Below are 20,622 nucleotides of genomic sequence, written 5' to 3'. Positions count from 1 at the left end.
CTAAGATACCAATGGCACAAATACATGTTGGAGAAAGCACCGCATAATAAAAACACCAAAGAAAATACCACTTAAGCATCTTATCTAGCAGAAGCTCCTTATTAGTGGAGAGTGTAATTTCAATGATGTGATTTTTTTTGACCTGCTTCATAGAAGCTAAGAGAATAAGAGGCACACAGAGAAGGCTGGTCAACCTCACCCAGGGAGGTTATAGAAGAAGTCATCTTCTCTTTTTATAGTATTTCATAATGTGATAATTAAATCTATTACTTAAAATTTGAAAAAAATAAAAAAAAAGATGAAGAGGTGTTTTTAGCAATAACTGGTTACCCTGCTGATTATTTCAAAGTCTGTTATGTTATGTTATTTTATTTTATTTTTTTGAGAAGGAGTCTTGCTCTGTCACCCAGGCTGGAGTGCAGTGGTGCAATCTTGGCTCACTGCAAGCTCCGCCTCCCGGGTTCATGCCATTCTCCTGCCTCAGCCTCTTGAGTAGCTGCGATTACAGGTGCCCACCACCACGCCCGGCTAATTTTTTGTATTTTTAGTGGAGACAGGGTTTCACCGTGTTAGCCAGGATGGTCTCGACCTCCTGACCTCATGATCCGCCCACCTCAGCCTCCCAAAGTGCTGGGATTACAGGCATGAGGCACTGCACCCTGCCCAAAGTCAGTTATTTCGAACCATTTAAGGTATTAACCTTGGTCCAGACCTGTTGTCCTCACCTACAGAGGATGAAAGTGTCCAAAGTGAATTATGCAGAAGGCCATTTAGGCTGAGCCTCTTGGCATCTGAATTGGAAGCCATTTTTAATTTTCATTTTTCTCATGGTTGCTGTGTGTGTGTTTATGTTTGCAAAAGCAATTTAGGCCCTGGAATTCCAAGCTGTTCTGTTAAGACCCAGGCTGCTTTGCTATCTCCTATCTTTGTTCAAAACAAACAAACAAAAAACAACAATAAAAAGAAGGAGTCATAAAGGATGTTAGACTGTAGGAGGTGCTTTTAGGATAAGTAAAAGATAAGAAACCCGCTGGAGACCAGGAGGGAGTTAAGCAGGCTGTTCTAAAAAGAGACAATGGCTGGAACAAAGGCAAGAGCATAGAAATGTATCCATGATCTCAGACAAGTTTTTTCTGCAAAACATTCAAGGAAACAAGTCAGAGAAAATGGAGTGTGGCTTGACACAGGAGGGAAATATACTGGGAATAGGGGTGGGTGTTCTTAAGAAATTTCATTACATGCATGGCTGGCACTAGGCCTCAAGCGTTATTCAAGGAATTCTAATAAGCTGTTTTAAAGGGATTAACAATCAAATATAAGTGAGAAAGTTAACTTCAGTTCTGTAGTAGAATTAGTGTTTTGAAATGACCACCCTAATAATAACTTTGCCTCTTGTAAAGGAAGTCTAGTGTACTTATCAAGGACAAATTGGTGTGGTTCATTTTTCAACTAAGGAATCAAGTGTGAACAACACGGAGGAGAAAATCAAAGTCCTCTGGCATTCACAGCATTTCTGAGTGAGTTTTCTGTAAAATACTCCCACAGAGACATAAGAATCAGAGAAAAGGCACTGGACTGATTCCAGTTTCATTTTGAAATCATTGGCAGCTGTCATCTCCATCCCGCCCATCCTGCATTTGGTGCAAATAAAGAACGCAGGAGCCTTGTCTCCTACTGGGCTGTCAGTGAGGAAAAGGAGGAAAGACAGGTTAGCTGGGGATGATGACGGATCTGAAGCAAAGCCATTCAGTGAGGCTGAATGATGGACCCTTCATGCCAGTGCTGGGATTTGGCACTTATGCTCCTGATCATGTAAGTGGACCCCAGGAGGCTGAAGTTTCTTAGGTCAGCTGTACTTGCAGGGCAGTCATCAGGCAAGAGCCCTGCACTTGGGTAGACAGTGGATGCTTGGAAGGGCTCATCTGGGATTTCATTTAACTGTCTCTAACTTGCTCCTCTCAAGGTCACAGAGATCTTTTTTGCTTTAAGTGGCATGGCAAGTTATTGATTGTGGGGATTCTGAGATTGATAATTTTGTGGGTATATTATCTTTATTTCTATTAAAAGTATCAATGTTACCTAATATATCAAATGCTTTCCATGTATTTTAGGTGTTTTACATGCATTATCTTATTTAATTCCTTAACAACTGGCCTAGGTAAGTACTCATTAAAATTTGTTACGTTTTAAAAATGCAAGCTCAGACTGTTCTCATCTTTTGCTCTGGTCAGAGCCACTCTACTCTTGGTTAGAAATGTGAAGGGCCAAGGACCCAGGAGGAATCAAAAGCCAAAATGAATACTTAGTGGCAGCTTTGCTGTGAGGTTATTGGGGCTGGAAGTATTTGCCAGAGAGTTTCAACCATCCAAACTTTTTGCTATATAAGAAGCCACTGCGATTCTGTTACAGTCTCATCAATGTATTAAAAATATAGTAGTCTTTCATTTTGAGGGATTATCTGAAGTTTTTTGTCTTATGACTGAGAAAATTAAGGACTGTGGACACAAAGGGTAAGGTTGGAGTGAAAGTTTAATAAGTGAAAGAAGGAAGATTTTCTCGAGTAGAGAGGGGGCCTGGATGGATTGTTAACTATGAGGTCAGGTCTAGGGTTTTGATGGACTGGGAAAGAAAAGAATTTGTTGACTGGTCTTGGAGAAAGTGTAACTCAGCTTGTCCTGGGACCTTGGTCTGGGACCAATCAGGAGTTGAAGTGATAGCTTGGCCTGGGACCTTGGCCCAGGAGCAGTCAGATGCTGAATGATAATTCATAAAGGCTCATCTCACGGTCCACATGTCCACAAAAGGAAAGGAAAGTGCCCACCAGAGCCCACTGGAGCCCACCATATACATGCCCACAAAAGAAAAAGAGACTTTCCTAGAAGTCTGTTGGTTACACAAAAGACAAATGTGTTTCTCTGTTGGTTCTTGTTCTCATATGAGTGCAGTTGTTGCCATGTCTTAGGCATAAAGGACAAAGGCATTTTGATGTTGGGCCTTGTTTTTTTATCTGAGTGAGCTGGAGGTTTGTGTAAGTTTCCTTATCTGTGTGTGTAGTCTGATTTTTTTCAAGCTGTTTCTCTGTTTAAAGGAGTTTTACCAAGAACTCACTCTAACTGTTTAAGTTTTTTCTCTCATTTTTACCCTCAGGAGTGGAGTCCCTAATTGTCAGGGAGATTGGGTGTTGACTTTTCTGGCTATTTTTTTGTCGGATGGTGGTGTCATGTGGGGAACAGTAGTTAGAGTTCTTCCTGGGGTTGGTTTAATGATCTTTGGAAGAAAGATATGTTTATGTGTGGTGTTATTAGTATTACCATTTAGAGTTTGATAGTTTTTATGTGAGAAGAAATAATTTGGGCTATTAGAGTACATGTATTAAAATGAAATAAGGGGGGATAAGGATAGTTTAAAAATTCTGAGGTTGTTGATACGTCCTGATAATTGGTAGTTATAGTTATGTCTGTTACGATTTCGGTGTATGGAGCTTGGTTTTGCTTAGTTTTTTTGGTCTTCTTTTCTCAAATAAAGCAACCTCTGGATTATGGGTATTCTATATATTCCTATGACCTGGTAGGATTTGTAGGATAATTGTTCAGAACTAGAATATTGTTCTAAATTTTATATTATTTATCTTTTACTGTTTTTATTTTTTGTTGTAGTCAGAGATTGTTGGTTAGTTCATAAGAATAAGTAGGGTTAGTCTAAAATGTAGGTAAACATTTAAAAATAATTAGTGAGACTAGAATTTAATAACAAATGTATGGCAAGTTTGACACACTATTTTTCTCTCTAGTTCTTATTTTTGTCAAAAACAAGTCATGATAGGATAGTACTGAGTTGTTTGTAAAATAAATTTTAGTTTCATATTTGGTCTGATTATCTGTATAAAGAATAGTAAGAATAATTTTTTTTTTTTTTGAGACAGAGTCTGCTCTCCTGCCCAGGCTGGAGTGCAATGGCATGATCTCGGCTCACTACAACCTCCGCCTCCTGGGTTCAAGCAGTTCTCCTACCTCAGCCTCTTGAGTAGCTGGGACTACAGGTGCATGCTGCCACACCCAGCTTATTTTTTGTATTTTCGTAGAGACAGGGTTTCACTATGTTGCCCAGGCTGGTCTCGAACTCCTGAGCTCAGGCAATCTGCCTGCCTCGGCCTCCCAAAGTGCTAGGATTACAGGCATAAGCCACCACACCTGGCCTTACAATAATTATTTTATATAGGGTTTTTAAATTGGTTTTGATGGAATTCTATTCCATAAGTAACCTCAGATAATAATACCTCAGTTTAAAGTTGAGTCTAGTCATGGGTTTGTACTCTCAAATATTTATGAGTTGGGTCAATTTTTCTCTTTTTGAGGTCCCAAGAATATAGGGTTCTTGAGCCTGTTAGAAAGTGACATTCTTTATTTATTATAGGTTAGGAACCCTGTTTGGGAACTGCATAGACAAGGTATGAGGCCAGTTTTTCTAAGAGGTTTTTATTGGTTTCGGAAGTTAAGTTTGATTATTCAAAGGGAAATATATCCTTCCAGTCAAAGTCTTGGTAAAATAATCATTTTTAAAAATTGTGTCTTGTAAAAGAAAATGGATTTTTATTGTACTGATGTAAGCAATTATATTGTTATAAGTCTTGAATATTTATAATTAGTTTCTGAATTTCAGAGGAACCAGGTAGAGATAAATAAATATGTTTTAAATTTTGTTCACAGAAGTGTATGTTATTCAATCGTTAAAAGTTGTAGTTCTTTCAAAAGTTTTTTGACTCTGAAAAAAACAAAATGATGATCAGTAATTTTTTAGTGAAAAGTTAAAAAGGATTACTTCAGTTTTCTATTAGTCTATTTTGTTAACTCTTGTTCTGTTTGATATTTATAAACATTTTAGTTTTTTGTGAGTCTTGCATGTTTTTTTATTAGAAACTTGTATTTGAGAGTGTTTGTTAAAGTCTTATAGTTGATTATAAATCATCTTTTGAAGTGGATTAAAACAAGGTAACAATTGCCTGTGAATGACAAAATGTCCAGGGTAGTTGTAGCTAAGAATATGATTGACAAAGTAATTTGGTTATTTCTGTGGTTTACAATAGTTTAACACAATAACCTTAATTATGATTGACAGTATATATTTAGACATTAGAATCTTAGACATCTTATATGGTTTTGGAACATACATTAATATTATTTACTGAAATATAACTTGAGGAAGATTAAATATCATTTTGGCAGTCTCACATATTTAAATATGTCAAGTGATCCTGTTCACTTTTTTGGGGTTGTTTTAGGGGCCTTCTGTAGTATTTAAACATTAGGGGTCAGGGAAGACAATCTTGAAACTCAAGTTTAATTTTGGGAAGCCTGTCGAATATGTTAGAAGTTTAAAGCCAATTGATATTATGAAACAGAATTTCAGATTACCATAAGTCATTTGTTTTGTTAAAATGATTTAAACATTTGAAAAAGTAAAAACTTTTTATTAGTCTTTATTATGACTTGAAAATCTTGTTCAAAAGAAAGTCGAATTTCACCCTTTTATTAGTTTTTTATTAATGTCAATCCCAATTTTTAATGAAACTTTATAGATAATTCTATTTAATCTTAACCAATTTGACAATGAGATGAGATTTTTATAAACCTTTAATAATTCTTTATACATATTGTTAAAGTAGATTAGCTTCTTAAGAAAACCTTGGGGTGGCAGCCAAGAAGGCCGAATAGGAACAGCTCTGGTCTACACCTCCCAGCGTGAGTGACGCAGAAGACGGGTGATTTCTGCATTTCCATCTGAGGTACCGGGTTCATCTCACAAGGGAGTGCCAGACAGTGGGCACAGGACAGTGGGTGCAGTGCACTGTGCATGAGCCAAAGCAGGGCGAGGCATTGCCTCACTCGGGAAGTGCAAGGGGTCAGGGAGTTCCCTTTCCTAGTCAAAGAAAAGGGTGACAGACGGCACCTGGAAAATCGGGTCACTCCTACCCTAATACCGCGCTTTTCCGACGGGCTTAAAAAACAGCGCACCAGGAGATTATATCCCACACATGGCTCGGAGGGTCCTATGTCCACGGAGTCTAGCTGATTGCTAGCACAGCAGTCTGAGATCAAACTGCAAGGCGACAGCCAGGCTGGGGGAGGGGCACCCGCCATTGCCCAGGCTTGCTTAGGTAAACAAAGCAGCCTGGAAGCTCGAACTGGAGCAGAGGTGTGGAGCCCACCACAGCTCAAGGAGGCCTGCCTGCCTCTCTAGGCTCCACCTCTGGGGGCAGGGCACAGACAAACAAAAAGACAGCAGTAACCTCTGCAGACTTAAATGTCCCTGTCTGACAGCTTTGAAGAGAGCAGTGGTTCTCCCAGCATGCAGCTGGAGCTCTGAGAACAGGCAGACTGTCTCCTCAAGTGGGTCCCTGACCCCTAACCCCCGAGCAGCCTAACTGGGAGGCAGCCCCCAGTAGGGGCAGACTGACACCGCACACAGCCAGGTACTCATTTGAGACAAAACTTCCAGAGGAATGATCAGACAGCAGCATTCGCAGTTCATGAAAATCCGCTGTTCTGCAATCTCTGCTGCGGATACCCAGACAAACAGGGTCTGGAGTGGACCTCTAGCAAACTCCAACAGACCTGCAGCTGAGGGTCCTGTCTGTTAGAAGGAAAACTAACAAAAAGAAAGGACATCCACACTAAAAGCCCATCTGTGCATCACCATCATCAAAGACCAAAAGTAGATAAAACCACAAAGATGGGGAAAAAACAGAGTAGAAAAACTGGAAACTCTAAAAAGCAGAGTGCCTCTCCTCCTCCAAACGAACGCAGTTCCTCACCAGCAACGGAACAAAGCTGGATGGAGAATGACTTTGACAAGTTGAGAGAAGAAGGCTTCAGATGATCAAACTACTCTGAGCTACAGGAGGAAATTCAAAACAAAGGCAAAGAAGTTAAAAACTTTGAAAAAAATTTAGATGAATGTATAACTAGAATAACAAATACAGAGAAGTGCTTAAAGGAGCTGAAGGAGCTGAAAGCCAAGGCTTGAGAACTACATGAAGAATGCAGAAGCCTCAGGAGCTGATGCAATCAACTGGAAGAAAGGATATCAGTGATGGAAGATGAAACGAATGAAATGAAGGGAGAAGGGAAGTTTAGAGAAAAAAGAATAAAAAGAACAAAGCCTCCAAGAAATATGGGACTATGTGAAAAGACCAAATCTACGTCTGATTGGTGTACCTGAAAGTGATGGGGAGAATGGAACCAAGTTGGAAAACCCTCTGCAGGATATTATCCAGGAGAACTTCTCCAATCTAGCAAGGCAGGCCAACATTCAGATTCAGGAAATACAGAGAATGCCACAAAGGTACTCCTTGAGAAGAGCAACTCCAAGATACATAATTGTCAGATTCACCAAAGTTGAAATGAAGGAAAAAATGTTAAGGGCAGCCAGAGAGAAAGGTCGGGTTACCCACAAAGGGAAGCTCATCAGACTAACGCAGATCTCTCGGCAGAAACTCTACATGCCAGAAGAGAGTGGGGGCCAATATTCAACATCCTTAAAGAAAAGAATTTTCAACCCAGAATTTCATATCCAGCCAAACTAAGCTTCATAAGTGAAGGAGAAATAAAATACTTTACAGACAAGCAAATGCTGAGAGATTTTTGTCACCACCAGGCCTGCCCTAAAAGAGCTCCTGAAGGAAGCACTAAACATGGAAAGGAACAACCAGTACCAGCCACTGCAAAATCATGCCAAATTGTAAAGACCATCGAGGCTAGGAAGAAACTGCATCAACTAACGAGCAAAATAACCAGCTAACATCATAATGACAGGATCAAATTCAAACATAATAATATTAACTTTAAATGTAAATGGACTAAATGCTCCAATTAAAAGACACAGACTGGCAAATTGGATAAAGAGTCAAGACCCATCAGTGTGCTGTATTCAGGAAACGCATCTCATGTGCAGAGACACACATAGGCTCAAAATAAAAGGATGGAGGAAGATCTACCAAGCAAATGGAAAACAAAAAAAAAGGCAGGGGTTGCAATCCTAGTCTCTGATAAAACAGATTTCAAACCAACAAAGATCAAAAGAGATGAGGCCATTACATAATGGTAAAGGGATCAATTCAACAAGAAGACCTAACTATCCTAAATATATATGCATCCAATACAGGAGCACCCAGATTCATAAAGCAAGTCCTGAGTGACCTACAAAGAGACTTAGATTCCCACACAATAATAACGGGAGACTTTAACACCCCACTGTCAACATTAGACAGATCAATGAGACAGAAAGTTAAAAAGGATACCCAGGAATTGAACTCAGCTCTGCACCAAGCGGACCTAATAGACATCTACAGAACTCTCCACCCAAAATCAACAGAATATACATTTTTTTCAGCACCACACCACACCTATTCCAAAATTGACCACATGGTTGGAAGCAAAGCTCTCCTCAGCAAATGTAAAAGAACAGAAATTATAACAAACTGTCTCTCAGACCACAGTGCAATCAAACTAGAACTCAGGATTAAGAAACTCACTCAAAACTGCTCAACTACATGGAAACTGAACAACCTGCTCCTGAATGACTACTGGGTACATAACGAAATGAAAGCAGAAATAAAGATGTTCTTTGAAACCAATGAGAACAAAGACACAACATACCAGAATCTCTGGGACACATTCAAAGCAGTGTGTAGAGGGAAATTTATAGCACTAAATGCCCACAAGAAAAAGAAGGAAAGATCTAAAATTGACACCCTAACATCACAATTAAAAGAACTAGAAAAGCAAGAGCAAACACATTCAAAAGCTAGCAGAAGGCAAGAAGTAACTAAAATCAGAGCAGAACTGAAGGAAATAGAGACACAAAAAACCCTTCAAAAAATTAATGAATCCAGGAGCTGTTTTTTTGAAAGGATCAACAAAATTTATAGACCACTAGCCAGACTAATAAAGAAGAAAAGAGAGAAGAATCAAATAGATGCAGTAAAAAATGATAAAGGGGATATCACCACCGATCCCACAGAAATACAAACTACCATCAGAGAATACTACAAACACCTCTATGCAAATAAACTGGAAAATCTAGAAGAAATGGATAAATTCCTCGACACATACACCCTCCCAAGACTAAACCAGGAAGAAGTTGAATCTCTGAATAGACCAATAACAGGTTCTGAAATTGTGGCAATAATCAATAGCTTACTAACCAAAAAGAGTCCAGGACCACATGGATTCACAGCCGAATTCTACCACAGGTACAAGGAGGAACTGGTACCATTCCTTCTGAAACTATTCCAATCAATAGAAAAAGAAGGAAGCCTCCCTAACTCATTTTACGAGGCCAGCATCATCCTGATACCAAAGCCGGGCAGAGACACAACAAAAAAAGAGAATTTTAGACCAATATCCTTGATGAACATTGATGCAAAAATCCTCAATAAAATACTGGCAAACCGAATCCAGCAGCACATCAAAAAGCTTATCCCACCATGATCAAGTGGGCTTCATCCCTGGGATGCAAGGCTGGTTCAATATATGCAAATCAATAAATGTAATCCAGCATATAAACAGAACCAAAGACAAAAACCACATGATTATCTCAATAGATGCAGAAAAGGCCTTTGACAAAATTCAACAGCCCTTCATGCTAAAAACTCTCAATAAATCAGGTATTGATGGGATGCATCTCAAAATAATAAGAGCTATCTATGACAAACCCACAGCTAATATCATACTGAATGGGCAAAAACTGGAAGCATTCCCTTTGAAAACTGGCACAAGACAGGGATGCCCTCTCTTACCACTCCTATTCAACATAGTGTTGGAAGTTCTGGCCAGGGCAATTAGGCAGGAGAAGGAAATAAAGGGTATTCAATTGGAAAAGAGGAAGTCAAATTATCCCTGTTTGCAGACGACATGATTCTATATCTAGAAAACCCCATCGTCTCAGCCCAAAATCTCCTTAAGCTGATAAGCAACTTCAGCAAAGTCTCAGGATACAAACTCAATGTACAAAAATCACAAGCATTCTTATACACCAATAACAGACAAACAGAGAGCCAAATCATGAGTGAACTCCCATTCACGATTGCTTCAAAGATAATAAAATACCTAGGAATCCAACTTACAAGGGATGTGAAGGACCTCTTCAAGGAGAACTACAAACCACTGCTTAAGGAAATAAAAGAGGATACAAACAAATGGAAGAACATTCCATGCTCATGGGTAGGAAGAATCAATATCGTGAAAATGGCCATACTGCCCAAGGTAATTTATAGATTCAATGCCATCCCCATCAAGCTACCAATGACTTTCTTCACAGAATTGGAAAAAACTACTTTAAAGTTCGTATGGAACCAAAAAAGAGCCTGCATCAACAAGTCAATCCTAAGCCAAAAGAAGAAAGCTGGAGGCATCACACTACCTGACTTCAAACTATACTACAAGGCTACAGTAACCAAAACAGCATGGTACTGGTACCAAAACAGAGATATAGATCAGTGGAACAGAACAGAGCCCTCAGAAATAATGCCGCATATCTACAACTATCGGATCTTTGACAAACCTGAGAAAAACAAGCAATGGGGAAAGGAATCCCTATTTAATAAATGGTGCTGGGAAAACTGGCTAGCCATATGTAGAAAGCTGAAACTGGATCCTTTCCTTACACCTTACACAAAAATTAATTCAAGATGGATTAAAGACTTAAACGTTAGACTTAAAACCATAAAAACCCTAGAAGAAAACCTAGGCATTACCATTCAGGACATAGGCATGGGCAAGGACTTCATGTCTAAAACACCAAAAGCAATGGCAACAAAAGACAAAATTGACAAATGGGATCTAATTAAACTAAAGAGCTTTTGCACAGCAAAAGAAACTACCATTAGAGTGAACAGGCAACCTACGAAATGGGAGAAAATTTTCGCAACCTACTCATCTGACAAAGGGCTAATATCCAGAATCTACAATGAACTCAAACAAATTTACAAGAAAAAAACAAACAACCCCATCAAAAAGTGGGCGAAGTTCATGAACAGACACTTCTCAAAAGAAGACATTTATGCAGCCAAAAAAACACATGAAAAAATGCTCACCATCACTGGCCATCAGAGAAATGCAAATCAAAACCATGATGAGATACCATCTCACACCAGTTAGAATGGCAATCATTAAAAAGTCAGGAAACAACAGGTGCTGGAGAGGATGTGGAGAAATAGTAACACTTTTACACTGTTGGTGGGACTGTCAACTAGTTCAAACATTGTGGAAGTCAGTGTGGCGATTCCTCAGGGATCTAGAACTAGAAATACCATTTGACCTAGCCATCCCATTACTGGGTATATACCCAAAGGACTATAAATCATGCTGCTATAAAGACACATGCACACATATGTTTATTGCAGCACTATTCACAACAGCAAAGACTTGGAACTAACCCAAATGTCCAACAATGATAGGCTGGACTAAGAAAATGTGGCACATATACACCATGGAATACTATGTAGCCATAAAAAATGATGAGTTCATGTCCTTTGTAGGTACATGGATGAAATTGGAAATCATCATTCTCAGTAAACTATCGCAAGGACAAAAAACCAAACATCGCACATTCTCAGTCATAGGTGGGAATTGAACAATGAGAACACATGGACACAGGAAGGGGAACATCACACTCTGGGGACTGTTGCGGGGTTGGGGGAGGGGGGAGGGGGGAGGGATAGCATTAGGAGATATACCTAATGCTAAATGACGAGTTAATGGGTGCAGCACATCAGCATGGCACATGTATACATATGTAACAAACCTGCACATTGTGCACTTGTACCCTAAAACTTAAAATATAATAATAACAAAATAAAGAAAACCTTGTTTTTTATTTCAATGTTCGATTTATGAAAAAACATGTAATATTTTTTAATTTAGTTAATATGTTTATATAGACCGTGGTTTTGTAAAATTTTTATAACTTTTCACAACCTGTTTAATCTTTCATTTTTATTTTATTTTATTTAAGACAGTCTTTTATTCCTAGGCAAAATATTTATTTTTATGTCTTTTCATAATTTTTTATTAAAAACACTTTTTCCTGTTTTTACATAGTTTGTATGTAAATTTATTTATAGTAGTCTCAATTATATATCATAATGGTAGTTCTTAGTAATTTTTAAGTTTAGTGTAAAACCTGGTAAGTTGTTTTATTGATATGTTAGGCATAAAGTCTGAGTTTTTCTAGTATAGTTAGAGGTGTGGTTATTTCTCTATGTCCTCAGGTCTTATTAATTGTGAAGTATGAAAGTCAGTTTGTAAAGGTCAAAGAAGTAGTTTGCAATCTTAAAATATTTAGTAAATTTAGTATATGACTTGTATAACACATATCACATATTTATATCTTGAAGACATTTGTATTTTACCAATACTTTTTAAGACATTTTATTTTGTAAAGATTAAAGTCACGTGAACTAAGAGGCATTATAATTTTTAATTTTCCTTCAAAAATCTTTGGTGGTTTTTTTTTTAGGTTAATTAATTAGAGTTTTTTTTTTTATAGACATCACATATCTAACATATATATGACTCTATAGACAGAAGAAGATCTAGTAGTTGTAAAATTTTCTGTTTGTCAGTCTTCTGATTGGATTATTGGTCTCAGGATGGAGTTTTTTTTTTAAGAACAGGGCTAGGAAAATGTGCAGTTTCTAGGGCCTAATAAATAGGTATAGTTGGAAGACAAAAATAGATTTTGAGAGGGATTTATCTGACTCTAATTCTTTGGGTTCAGGTTCCACAAGGAAAACAGAGATTTCTCTCAAAATGGAATTTGTTGTGTATGTGTATATATGGTTTTTCTTTTATTTCCAAAGGAGTCTCAGGTCATCAGAAGTCATCTTAGGGCCTTTTATGCAGGTATTAAGGGTGGTAAGACAGAGTGGAGGAAAGTAATTTAGTTGACTGAGAATAAAACCTTTTCCAGAAAAACAAGATCTAAGAAGAGAAAACTATAAAGGTCTTTTAAATATACCTATAGTTTCAATATCAATCTTTAGTTGAGTGTTCTTTAAGAAAATTATTTTTCATTAATTAAAATTTTACAGAGAATATAAACAGTGATGCTTATTATTCTTTTTATTGGTTTGTATAGGGAGAAAGGCCAAAAGTCTGAGTAGATTTTTTTTTTTTAATCGTTTTGTTAGTATGTCTGGCTTTTCGGTTTTCTAGGGGAGTTTTTCTTGAAGTCTTTTTTGGCTGTATAAGTTTGTACCACTATTTGTTTATAGTTATGTTCAGGTTTTCTAGTTTCTTCTTGGATGAACCCCTTCTTTATTCTCATGCCTTTGCATCTGCTTCTCACTTGTCCTAAGCCTCTGCCCCCTTTGGTTCCTCCTGCCTCCAAGCCTTCAGTCCCAAACCCCACTCCTCCTCATTCTGCACCTGTTACACATTCAAAAACCACCTCTGCCATCCTCCCTCTCTGGGAAGTGACTGGGGTTAAAGGCATTGCTTGCATTCATGTCCCTTTCTCCATGTCTGATTTGTTGCTGATCAAAGTTTTAAGTATATTCAAAAGGCTTTTATATTTTTCTCTTCATCAATCTTGTTTTCCTAGAAAAGGTTTTTTTTCCCAGTTAACTGAATTACTTTTCTCCATTCTGTCTTGCCACTCTTAGTGCATGCATAAAAAACCCTAAAATAACTTCTGGTAGCCTGGGACTCCCTGGGAAAATAGAAAAGTTGACACAAATCTCATTTTGGAAAAATTCTCTCTTTTCCTTATGGAGCCCCTGGAATTAAAGGTAAATAAGTGTCTCTCAAAATCTGCCTTTGTCTTCCAGCTATGCTTGTTTATTAGGCCCTAAAAATTGTTTTCCTAGCCCTGTTCTTAAAGGGCCTCATCTGGAGGCCAATTATCCAATCAGGAAATTAGCAGATGTAAATCTTATAACTACTAGATCTTCTTCTGGTTGTCTGTCTGGCTATATGTGTGTTATGTGTGCAATGTCTATTAAAAGAGCTCTAATTAATTGTCCTAAGGAAAATAAGCACTTAAATATTTTTAAGAAAAAAAGGCTGTGGAACCTTTCAGTTCACATGACTTTGATCTTTGAAACTTACCAGTACAGTAAAATTAGAAATGTCTTAAGAGTTGCCAGCATACGTTTTTGTTTGCATTTATTAATCAAGCAATTTCATACTTATCTCTGCCAAATACTATAAGGTGTCAAAATTTGTTATAGAGGCTACAAAAGTAAAACTCAGCCCAAACAAAATAATCTTTGCTTGTGTAATTTTTAATAAATAAAAATTAATATTAGTTTAATGAAGATAGCTGCATCTGAAACTATTTAGTAAAATATCCTTACTTTTAATCTTGTGGCCTTAGGCAGTCTAGTCCACAGACATGAAGGAAGGTTTTTTGGGGAAAGAACTGTTACCTTTAATATTTTAAAAAAGATAACTTATATTTAAAAAACCTTATGTGGTAACTTCTTGTCCTAAAGTAAATTAACTGGTTGTTTAAAGAAAGGAATGTTTACAAGTCAAAAAATTAAGGCATATCAGAAATTGACTGTGAAGGTCATGGAAAATTTTATAAAAGAGAATTTATGCAAGAAATGTTGTACAATTTAAAAGTAATTAGGCCTCCTGAATGCTTTATAAAATGCCACTATAACTGTTAGCTGTACAACTTGCCTGTTTGCAGCTAAGTAAAACCTAGGACACATGAAGTTAAATGCTGGAATAAGTCAAACCTTATCTGCGCTTCTGTCTGGGTCCTAGTCTCTACACCTAGTACAGAATTAAAATCCCAAACTTATGAAGGTTTTCAACAAAAGTAAAGGTTGCTGAAAGTTAACACTGTAACATGTATTTAAAACTATTGAAGAAACAGTTTATGTGCAAGGTGTGTAAGAAAAGTAAAATATACTTTTGGTAAAAAGATTATTAAGGAGGCATAAGAATGTGGATTTTTACCTCCATTCAAAGGTTGAAGAATTGTTTTAAAAGCTTAAGCAAGTTTTGGAAGGTTAATTGTAAAGGAAATTCTGTGTGTAAACATATTGGCTAAGGTTAAAGGGGCATCATCCAGTTTTTCTGTAAATTGAGCATTAAAATAAAAGCACAATGGGTTTTTCTTAAAGCACTAACCTGCTCTTTAACAAAAATTATAAAGGGTTAAAAAGAGTCTGTAAAAATCTTACCTTATGCTCAGACATTAAAATTAGGTAAATATGTATACAAGGTTTTATTAAAAATTAAATTTAAAATTAATAGCACACTAATATAAAAGTATAATTTGGCTTATTTAGTATCAAATCATGCAGAAAGCATTGTCAAATATAAAATGGTGTTTAGCTTTCTTTGGGCTATATTTATATGAATACATTATTGTATGTGTCCCAAAGTTATAGGAAACACCTATAATTCCCATATATCTTAGTGTGTATTATCAGTAATAATTATAATTGTTATGTTAAAATTATTGTGTGCCACAGGGGTAACAGATATCCTTGTCAATTGTGTCTTCAACTATGGCTACCTTAAAACTTTTTGTTATCCATAAGCAATTGTTGCCTTGTTTTGGTCTTCTTCAAAAGGTGGTTTTATAATCAGCTATAAAGCTCTAACAGGTACTCTTAAATGCAGGTTTCTGATAACTTTGGAGATTGTAACATCAAAATAGAGGAAAAATGTTCAGGACTTTTAAAGAGCTAAAATGTTAATTAATATCAAACAGGACAGGAATTAGCTGCATAAATTAAATTAATAGGAAGCTAATCTTTTTAACATTTTGCTTAAAGTATTGTAATCCTTCGTTTTGCTTTTCAAAGTGAAAGACATTTTTCTTTTGAGCTATTAACAGCTTTTAACAATTTAGTTTACTCCCATAAACAAAATTTGGAGCATACTTGTTTCGGTCTACCTGATTTTCTCCAAAATTTGGAAACTATCTGTGAGTATTCTTAAGTTATGGCAATATAGTTATTTGCATAAGTGCAATAAGAATCTGTTTTTGTTTTGTAACAGGACACAATTGGAAAAACTGGTTATTTTACCAAGGCTTTGACTGGAATGGTGTGCTTTCCTTTAAGGAATCAAACTTAACTTATGAAGCCAATAAAGCCCTTGGAAAACTAACCTCATATTTTGTCTACAGAGTCCCTGTACAGGGTTTCTGATCCATGGTAAGTAAAGAATGTCACTTTCTAGCAGGCCAGGAACCCTAAGTTATCTTGGGACCTCAAAGAGAAGAGAAATTCACCAACTCATAGGTATTTAATGGTACAAATTCATAAATGGGGTTGGCTTTAAAAAGGCCTTATCTCAGATTCCTTCTATGGAACAAAGTTCCATCAAAGCTAATTTAAAAGGCCTATGTAATAAATAATTATTCTTGCTGCACTGTATACAAATAATTAAGCCAAGTATAATAAAGCAGACCAATCCTACCATAATCTGTCTTTTAATAAAAATGGGAAACTGAAGAGAGAAAATTATGTTTCAAAAACTATAGCACACCTGTTGTTAAATGGTAGTGTTGTGTAATGTTTTACACTTTTTATTATTTTCTACTGTTTAAATTCTAATTTTTCTTGCTACAAGTTTCTAAAATAAGCTATGCTTTCCTAAAGTCCTGTAAACCGAAAACCAGATGTTTCAGCAGGCACTGCCTCTGAGTCCCCCGACCATCACAGGAGGAAATCTCTTCACTGCTGGTGCCAACAACTAATAACTAAGGGTGTCCAGAATCCTTTGCCCCCATGTCTAGTGAGTCCATGGAACCCAGGGTAATTAAGACGGTACCTGTTACAGGAATCAACTCCTAAATACATCACACTCGAGTCAAAACCTGGAAAGCTAAGGAAGCAACCCCTGACAGCCCAAAAATGTCCTAAATATCATTGTCAACAAATAAGAAATCTTAAGCTGAAAATGATAAAAAGTAAGTAACTAAGTGAAAATTACTCATCTTACTCAGCCTCAACCCTACCTCACCAAATACATTTTATTTTTTCTACCTCTCCTTTTAAGCTAAATATTACAACTTTTTTTAATGGAAATTATTTACTATGCTACCCTCGTGAGAAATGCTTCACTCACTCTACTATTTGCGGTAGGACTATATACTGTAGTACCCTCAGGATGGAATATCTGATAGATAATCTCAGTTACTGTAAGATTTTGCTTAATTATTATCCTCATAACAGGAATAACAGTTACTAACAATAAAAAAAAAAACATGGATCTTTCCAAACATGCGCCTCTGACTGTCATTAAGAAAAAAAATGTTACTTCTGTCTCAACCAATCAGGCCTAATAAGAAACACTGCTAAAAAGAACTAATGTTTTTACCCAGCTTAATTAATCTTTTCCAAAAATTTTTAACCAACAGAATCATGGCCATTTCGTAGACAACTACCCAGAAACATCTACAGACCGTGTTGCTCCTGCAATCAATCCAACACCAAGAAAGTCTCCCCCGCCCCCCAGCAGGAAGTAGCGAGAAACAACACATTACCCTTTGTCCTTTCATAACTATAGGGTCTGGAATTATAGAACAGGAGCACCATCATCTCGGACAAACACTACCACTTTAAATTGCAGCTCCCTTTCTAGCCTCATGCATTTCAAGGAAATCACTTCTCTTCTAACTACAAGCAGCCAGAAAGAGCAGACAGTAAAACACAGAAAAGACAGCTCAGGCACAGGGGGAGGTGCGGTGTTATTTGGACCTATGACCTGTTTTTGTAGTTTCCTTTTGATGTCAGTGCTTGTCTGAGTAATACATTTGTCTTTTAAGATTAATTGTCCCTCAATTGAATCAGGAGATAGGGAGGTGGGTTTCACTAAAGTCTATCTCAGCCTTTCCATAAAGGCTGAGGTATTTTCATCTGTTTTTAGATTCAACATGGACAGTTTAGAGTAATTAAGAGACTTGGTTCTGATTTTTTGTCAGTCTTTTAATATGTACATCAGAAAGTGCTTTCTTTTTCACACCTCTATGGGATCACTAGAACTCTAGTTAGGGTTTTCAAGGGATATTGGCTCTCTTGTTATTGGGAATGGGGATCTTATCTTTTTCATTCTCTTTCCCCTTTTTACTGGTTTTCTTTTTCAGCCAGTTACAGGAGACATGTTTTCATCTCTGAATCTCTTTGTTGTCTGCAGAGCTCTCTGTTTCTCAGTAGTAGTTAGGGTTTGGTTTAAGAGTAACATAACATCTCTCTATGTAAGATCAAGCACTTAAGTTAGATTTTGGAAAGCCTTCATGTATCTATCAGGGTCATCAAATAACTTGCCCAGGTCTCCCTCTAGTTGTTTAAGGTCTTGTAATGAAAAAGGAATCTGGACTGTAGTGGTACCATGACTATCAGGCATTTCTGGTAGGGATAGTAGTGGACTCGGGGGTTTGGGTGGTAGAACTGGAGGAATTGATGACTATGTGACAAGAGAGGCTCTGGAAAATGGGAACAAGAAGGGCTGGGGCACCTGGGAGTTGCATTTGAGGGTTTTCTGGGGGGTCATTTCTCTGACTTTGGGGAGTTGTCTACTGTGGGCTTGTCTGATACAACTGTTAAGAGGGTAGGGTCAATTTTATAATGCTTACAAAGATCTGGGTTGTTTTTCAGGGCAAAGAAGCTTGCACATAGGAAACCTCAGACCGTTTCCTCTCCTGTGTGCAGGAAAGATCTAGTTGTTGGATAGTATTAAAATTAACACTTTTCTCAGGAGTCTAGGCCTGTCCATCCTAGAGTTGGTAAGAAAGCCATGCCATGTGTATAAGAATATAAGTCTTTTTTTTTAATCTGGTGGAAGTTCATTATAATTAGCAATTGACAAGGAAATCTGACTATTTCTGTAGCATACAACATAATAACCACAGTTATGGCATATTAGGTTTCTAAGAGTTGTATACAATTTTGGAACATTCCTATAAAAACACACACATAAATGTAACTGAAAGAAGGTCTAGCTAGCATCACGTATCATTTTACAGTGTTTTTTATACAATTTACCAGATAAGCCTAATCATTTACTGTCTTTTTTTTGTTATACTTAAGTTTTAGGCTACATGTGCACAATGTGCAGGTTACTTACATATGTATACATGTGCCATGTTGGTGTGCTGCATCCAGTAACTAGTCATTTAACATTAGGTATATCTCCAAATGCTATCCCTCCCCACTCCCCTCACAACAAGCCCCAGTGTGTGTTGTTCCCCTTCCTGTGTCCATGTGTTCTCATTGTTCAATTCCCACCTATGAGTGAGAACATGCGGTGTTTGGTTTTTTGTCCTTGCGATAGTTTGCTGAGAATGATAGTTTCCAGCTTCATCCATGTCCCTACAAAGGACATGAACTTATAATTTTTTATGGCTGCATAGTATTCCATGCTGTATAGGTGCCGCATTTTCTTAATCCAGTCTATCATTGTTGGACATTTGGGTTGGTTCCAAGTCTTTGCTATTGTGAATAGTGCCGCAATAAACATATGTGTGCATGTGTCTTTATAGCAGCATGATTTATAATCCTTTGGGTATATACCCAGTAATGGGATTGCTGGGTCAAATGGTATTTCTAGTTCTAGATCCCTGAGGAATCACCATACTGACTTCCATAAGGGTTGAACTAGTTTACAGACCCACCAACAGTGTAAAAGTGTTCCTATTTCTCCACATCCTCTCCAGCACCTGTTGTTTCCTGACTTTTTAATGATCACCATTCTAACTGGTGTGAGATGGTATCTCATTGTGGGTTTGATTTGTATTTCTCTGATGACCAGTGATGATGAGCATTTTTTCATGTGTCTTTTGGCTGCATAAATGTCTTCTTTTGAGAAGCGTCTCTTCATATCCTTTGCCCACTTTTTGATGGGTTTTTTTTTTCTTGTAAATTTGTTGGAGTTCATTGTAGATTCTTGATATTTGCCCTTTGTCAGATGAGTAGATTGCAAAAATTTTCTCCCATTCTCTAGGTTGCCTGTTCACTCTGAGGGTAGTTTCTTTTGCTGTGCAGAAGCTCTTGAGTTTAATTAGATCCCATTTGTCAATTTTGGCTTTTGTTGCCATTGCTTTTGGTGTTTTAGACATGAAGTCCTTGCCCATGCCTATGTCCTGAATGTTATTGCCTAGGTTTTCTTCTAGGGTTTTTATGGTTTTAGGTCTATCGTTTAAGTCTTTAACCCATCTTAAATTAATTTTTGTATAAGGTGTAAGGAAGGGATCCAGTTTCAGCTTTCTACATATGGCTAGCCACTTTTCCCAGCATCATTTATTAAATAGGGAATCATTTCCCCATTTCTTGTTTTTGTCAGGTTTGTCAAAGATCAGGTGGTTGTAGATATGTGGCATTATTTCTGAGGGCTCTGTTCTGTTCCGTTGGTCTATATCTCTGTTTTGGTACCAGTACCATGCTGTTTTGGGTACTGTAGCCTTGTAGTATAGTTTGAAGTCAGGTAGCATGATGCCTCCAGCTTTGTTTTTTTGGCTTAGGATTGACTTGGCAATGCAGGCTCTTTTTTGGTTCCATATGAACTTTAAAGTAGTTTTTTCCAATTCTGTGAAGAAAGTCATTGGTAGCTTGATGGGGATGGCATTGAATCTATAAATTACCTTGGGCAGTATGGC

The 20,622-nt window shown here is 37.2% G+C and overlaps 1 protein-coding gene across 13 annotated transcripts in view, besides 1 other annotated feature; it reads left to right on the top strand.

The window, feature by feature from the left end:
* The first annotated feature begins 1,673 nt into the window (after positions 1 to 1,673).
* AKR1C8 (aldo-keto reductase family 1 member C8) overlaps positions 1,674 to 20,622 on the top strand; it is a 69,338-nt gene continuing 50,389 nt past the window's right edge. For 12 of the 13 annotated variants that reach the window (NR_027916.3, XM_047425162.1, XM_047425161.1 and 9 more), the window contains exon 1: positions 1,674 to 1,812. Coding sequence is in view for 12 of the 13 variants with exons in the window: in XM_047425162.1 (XP_047281118.1) it covers positions 1,720 to 1,812 (93 nt within the window). In the remaining variant the exon portion in view is untranslated. Of the gene's footprint in view, positions 1,813 to 16,028; positions 16,181 to 20,622 lie in introns of those variants that run through there. The other variant, XM_047425164.1, reaches the window with a different exon arrangement.
* Positions 17,631 to 17,831: a silencer, noted in NCBI's record as "peak853 fragment used in MPRA reporter construct". NCBI's record gives its function as "represses an SCP1 promoter by STARR-seq MPRAs in K562 erythroleukemia cells {active_cell/tissue: K562}" and the evidence as "EXISTENCE:reporter gene assay evidence [ECO:0000049][PMID:32103011]".

This window comes from Homo sapiens, chromosome 10 (genome assembly GCF_000001405.40).
Source record: "Homo sapiens chromosome 10, GRCh38.p14 Primary Assembly".
Taxonomy (NCBI): domain Eukaryota; kingdom Metazoa; phylum Chordata; class Mammalia; order Primates; family Hominidae; genus Homo; species Homo sapiens.
The sequence above is the reverse complement of the archived record's forward strand: the minus strand, read 5'-3'. Positions and strand labels throughout refer to the sequence as shown.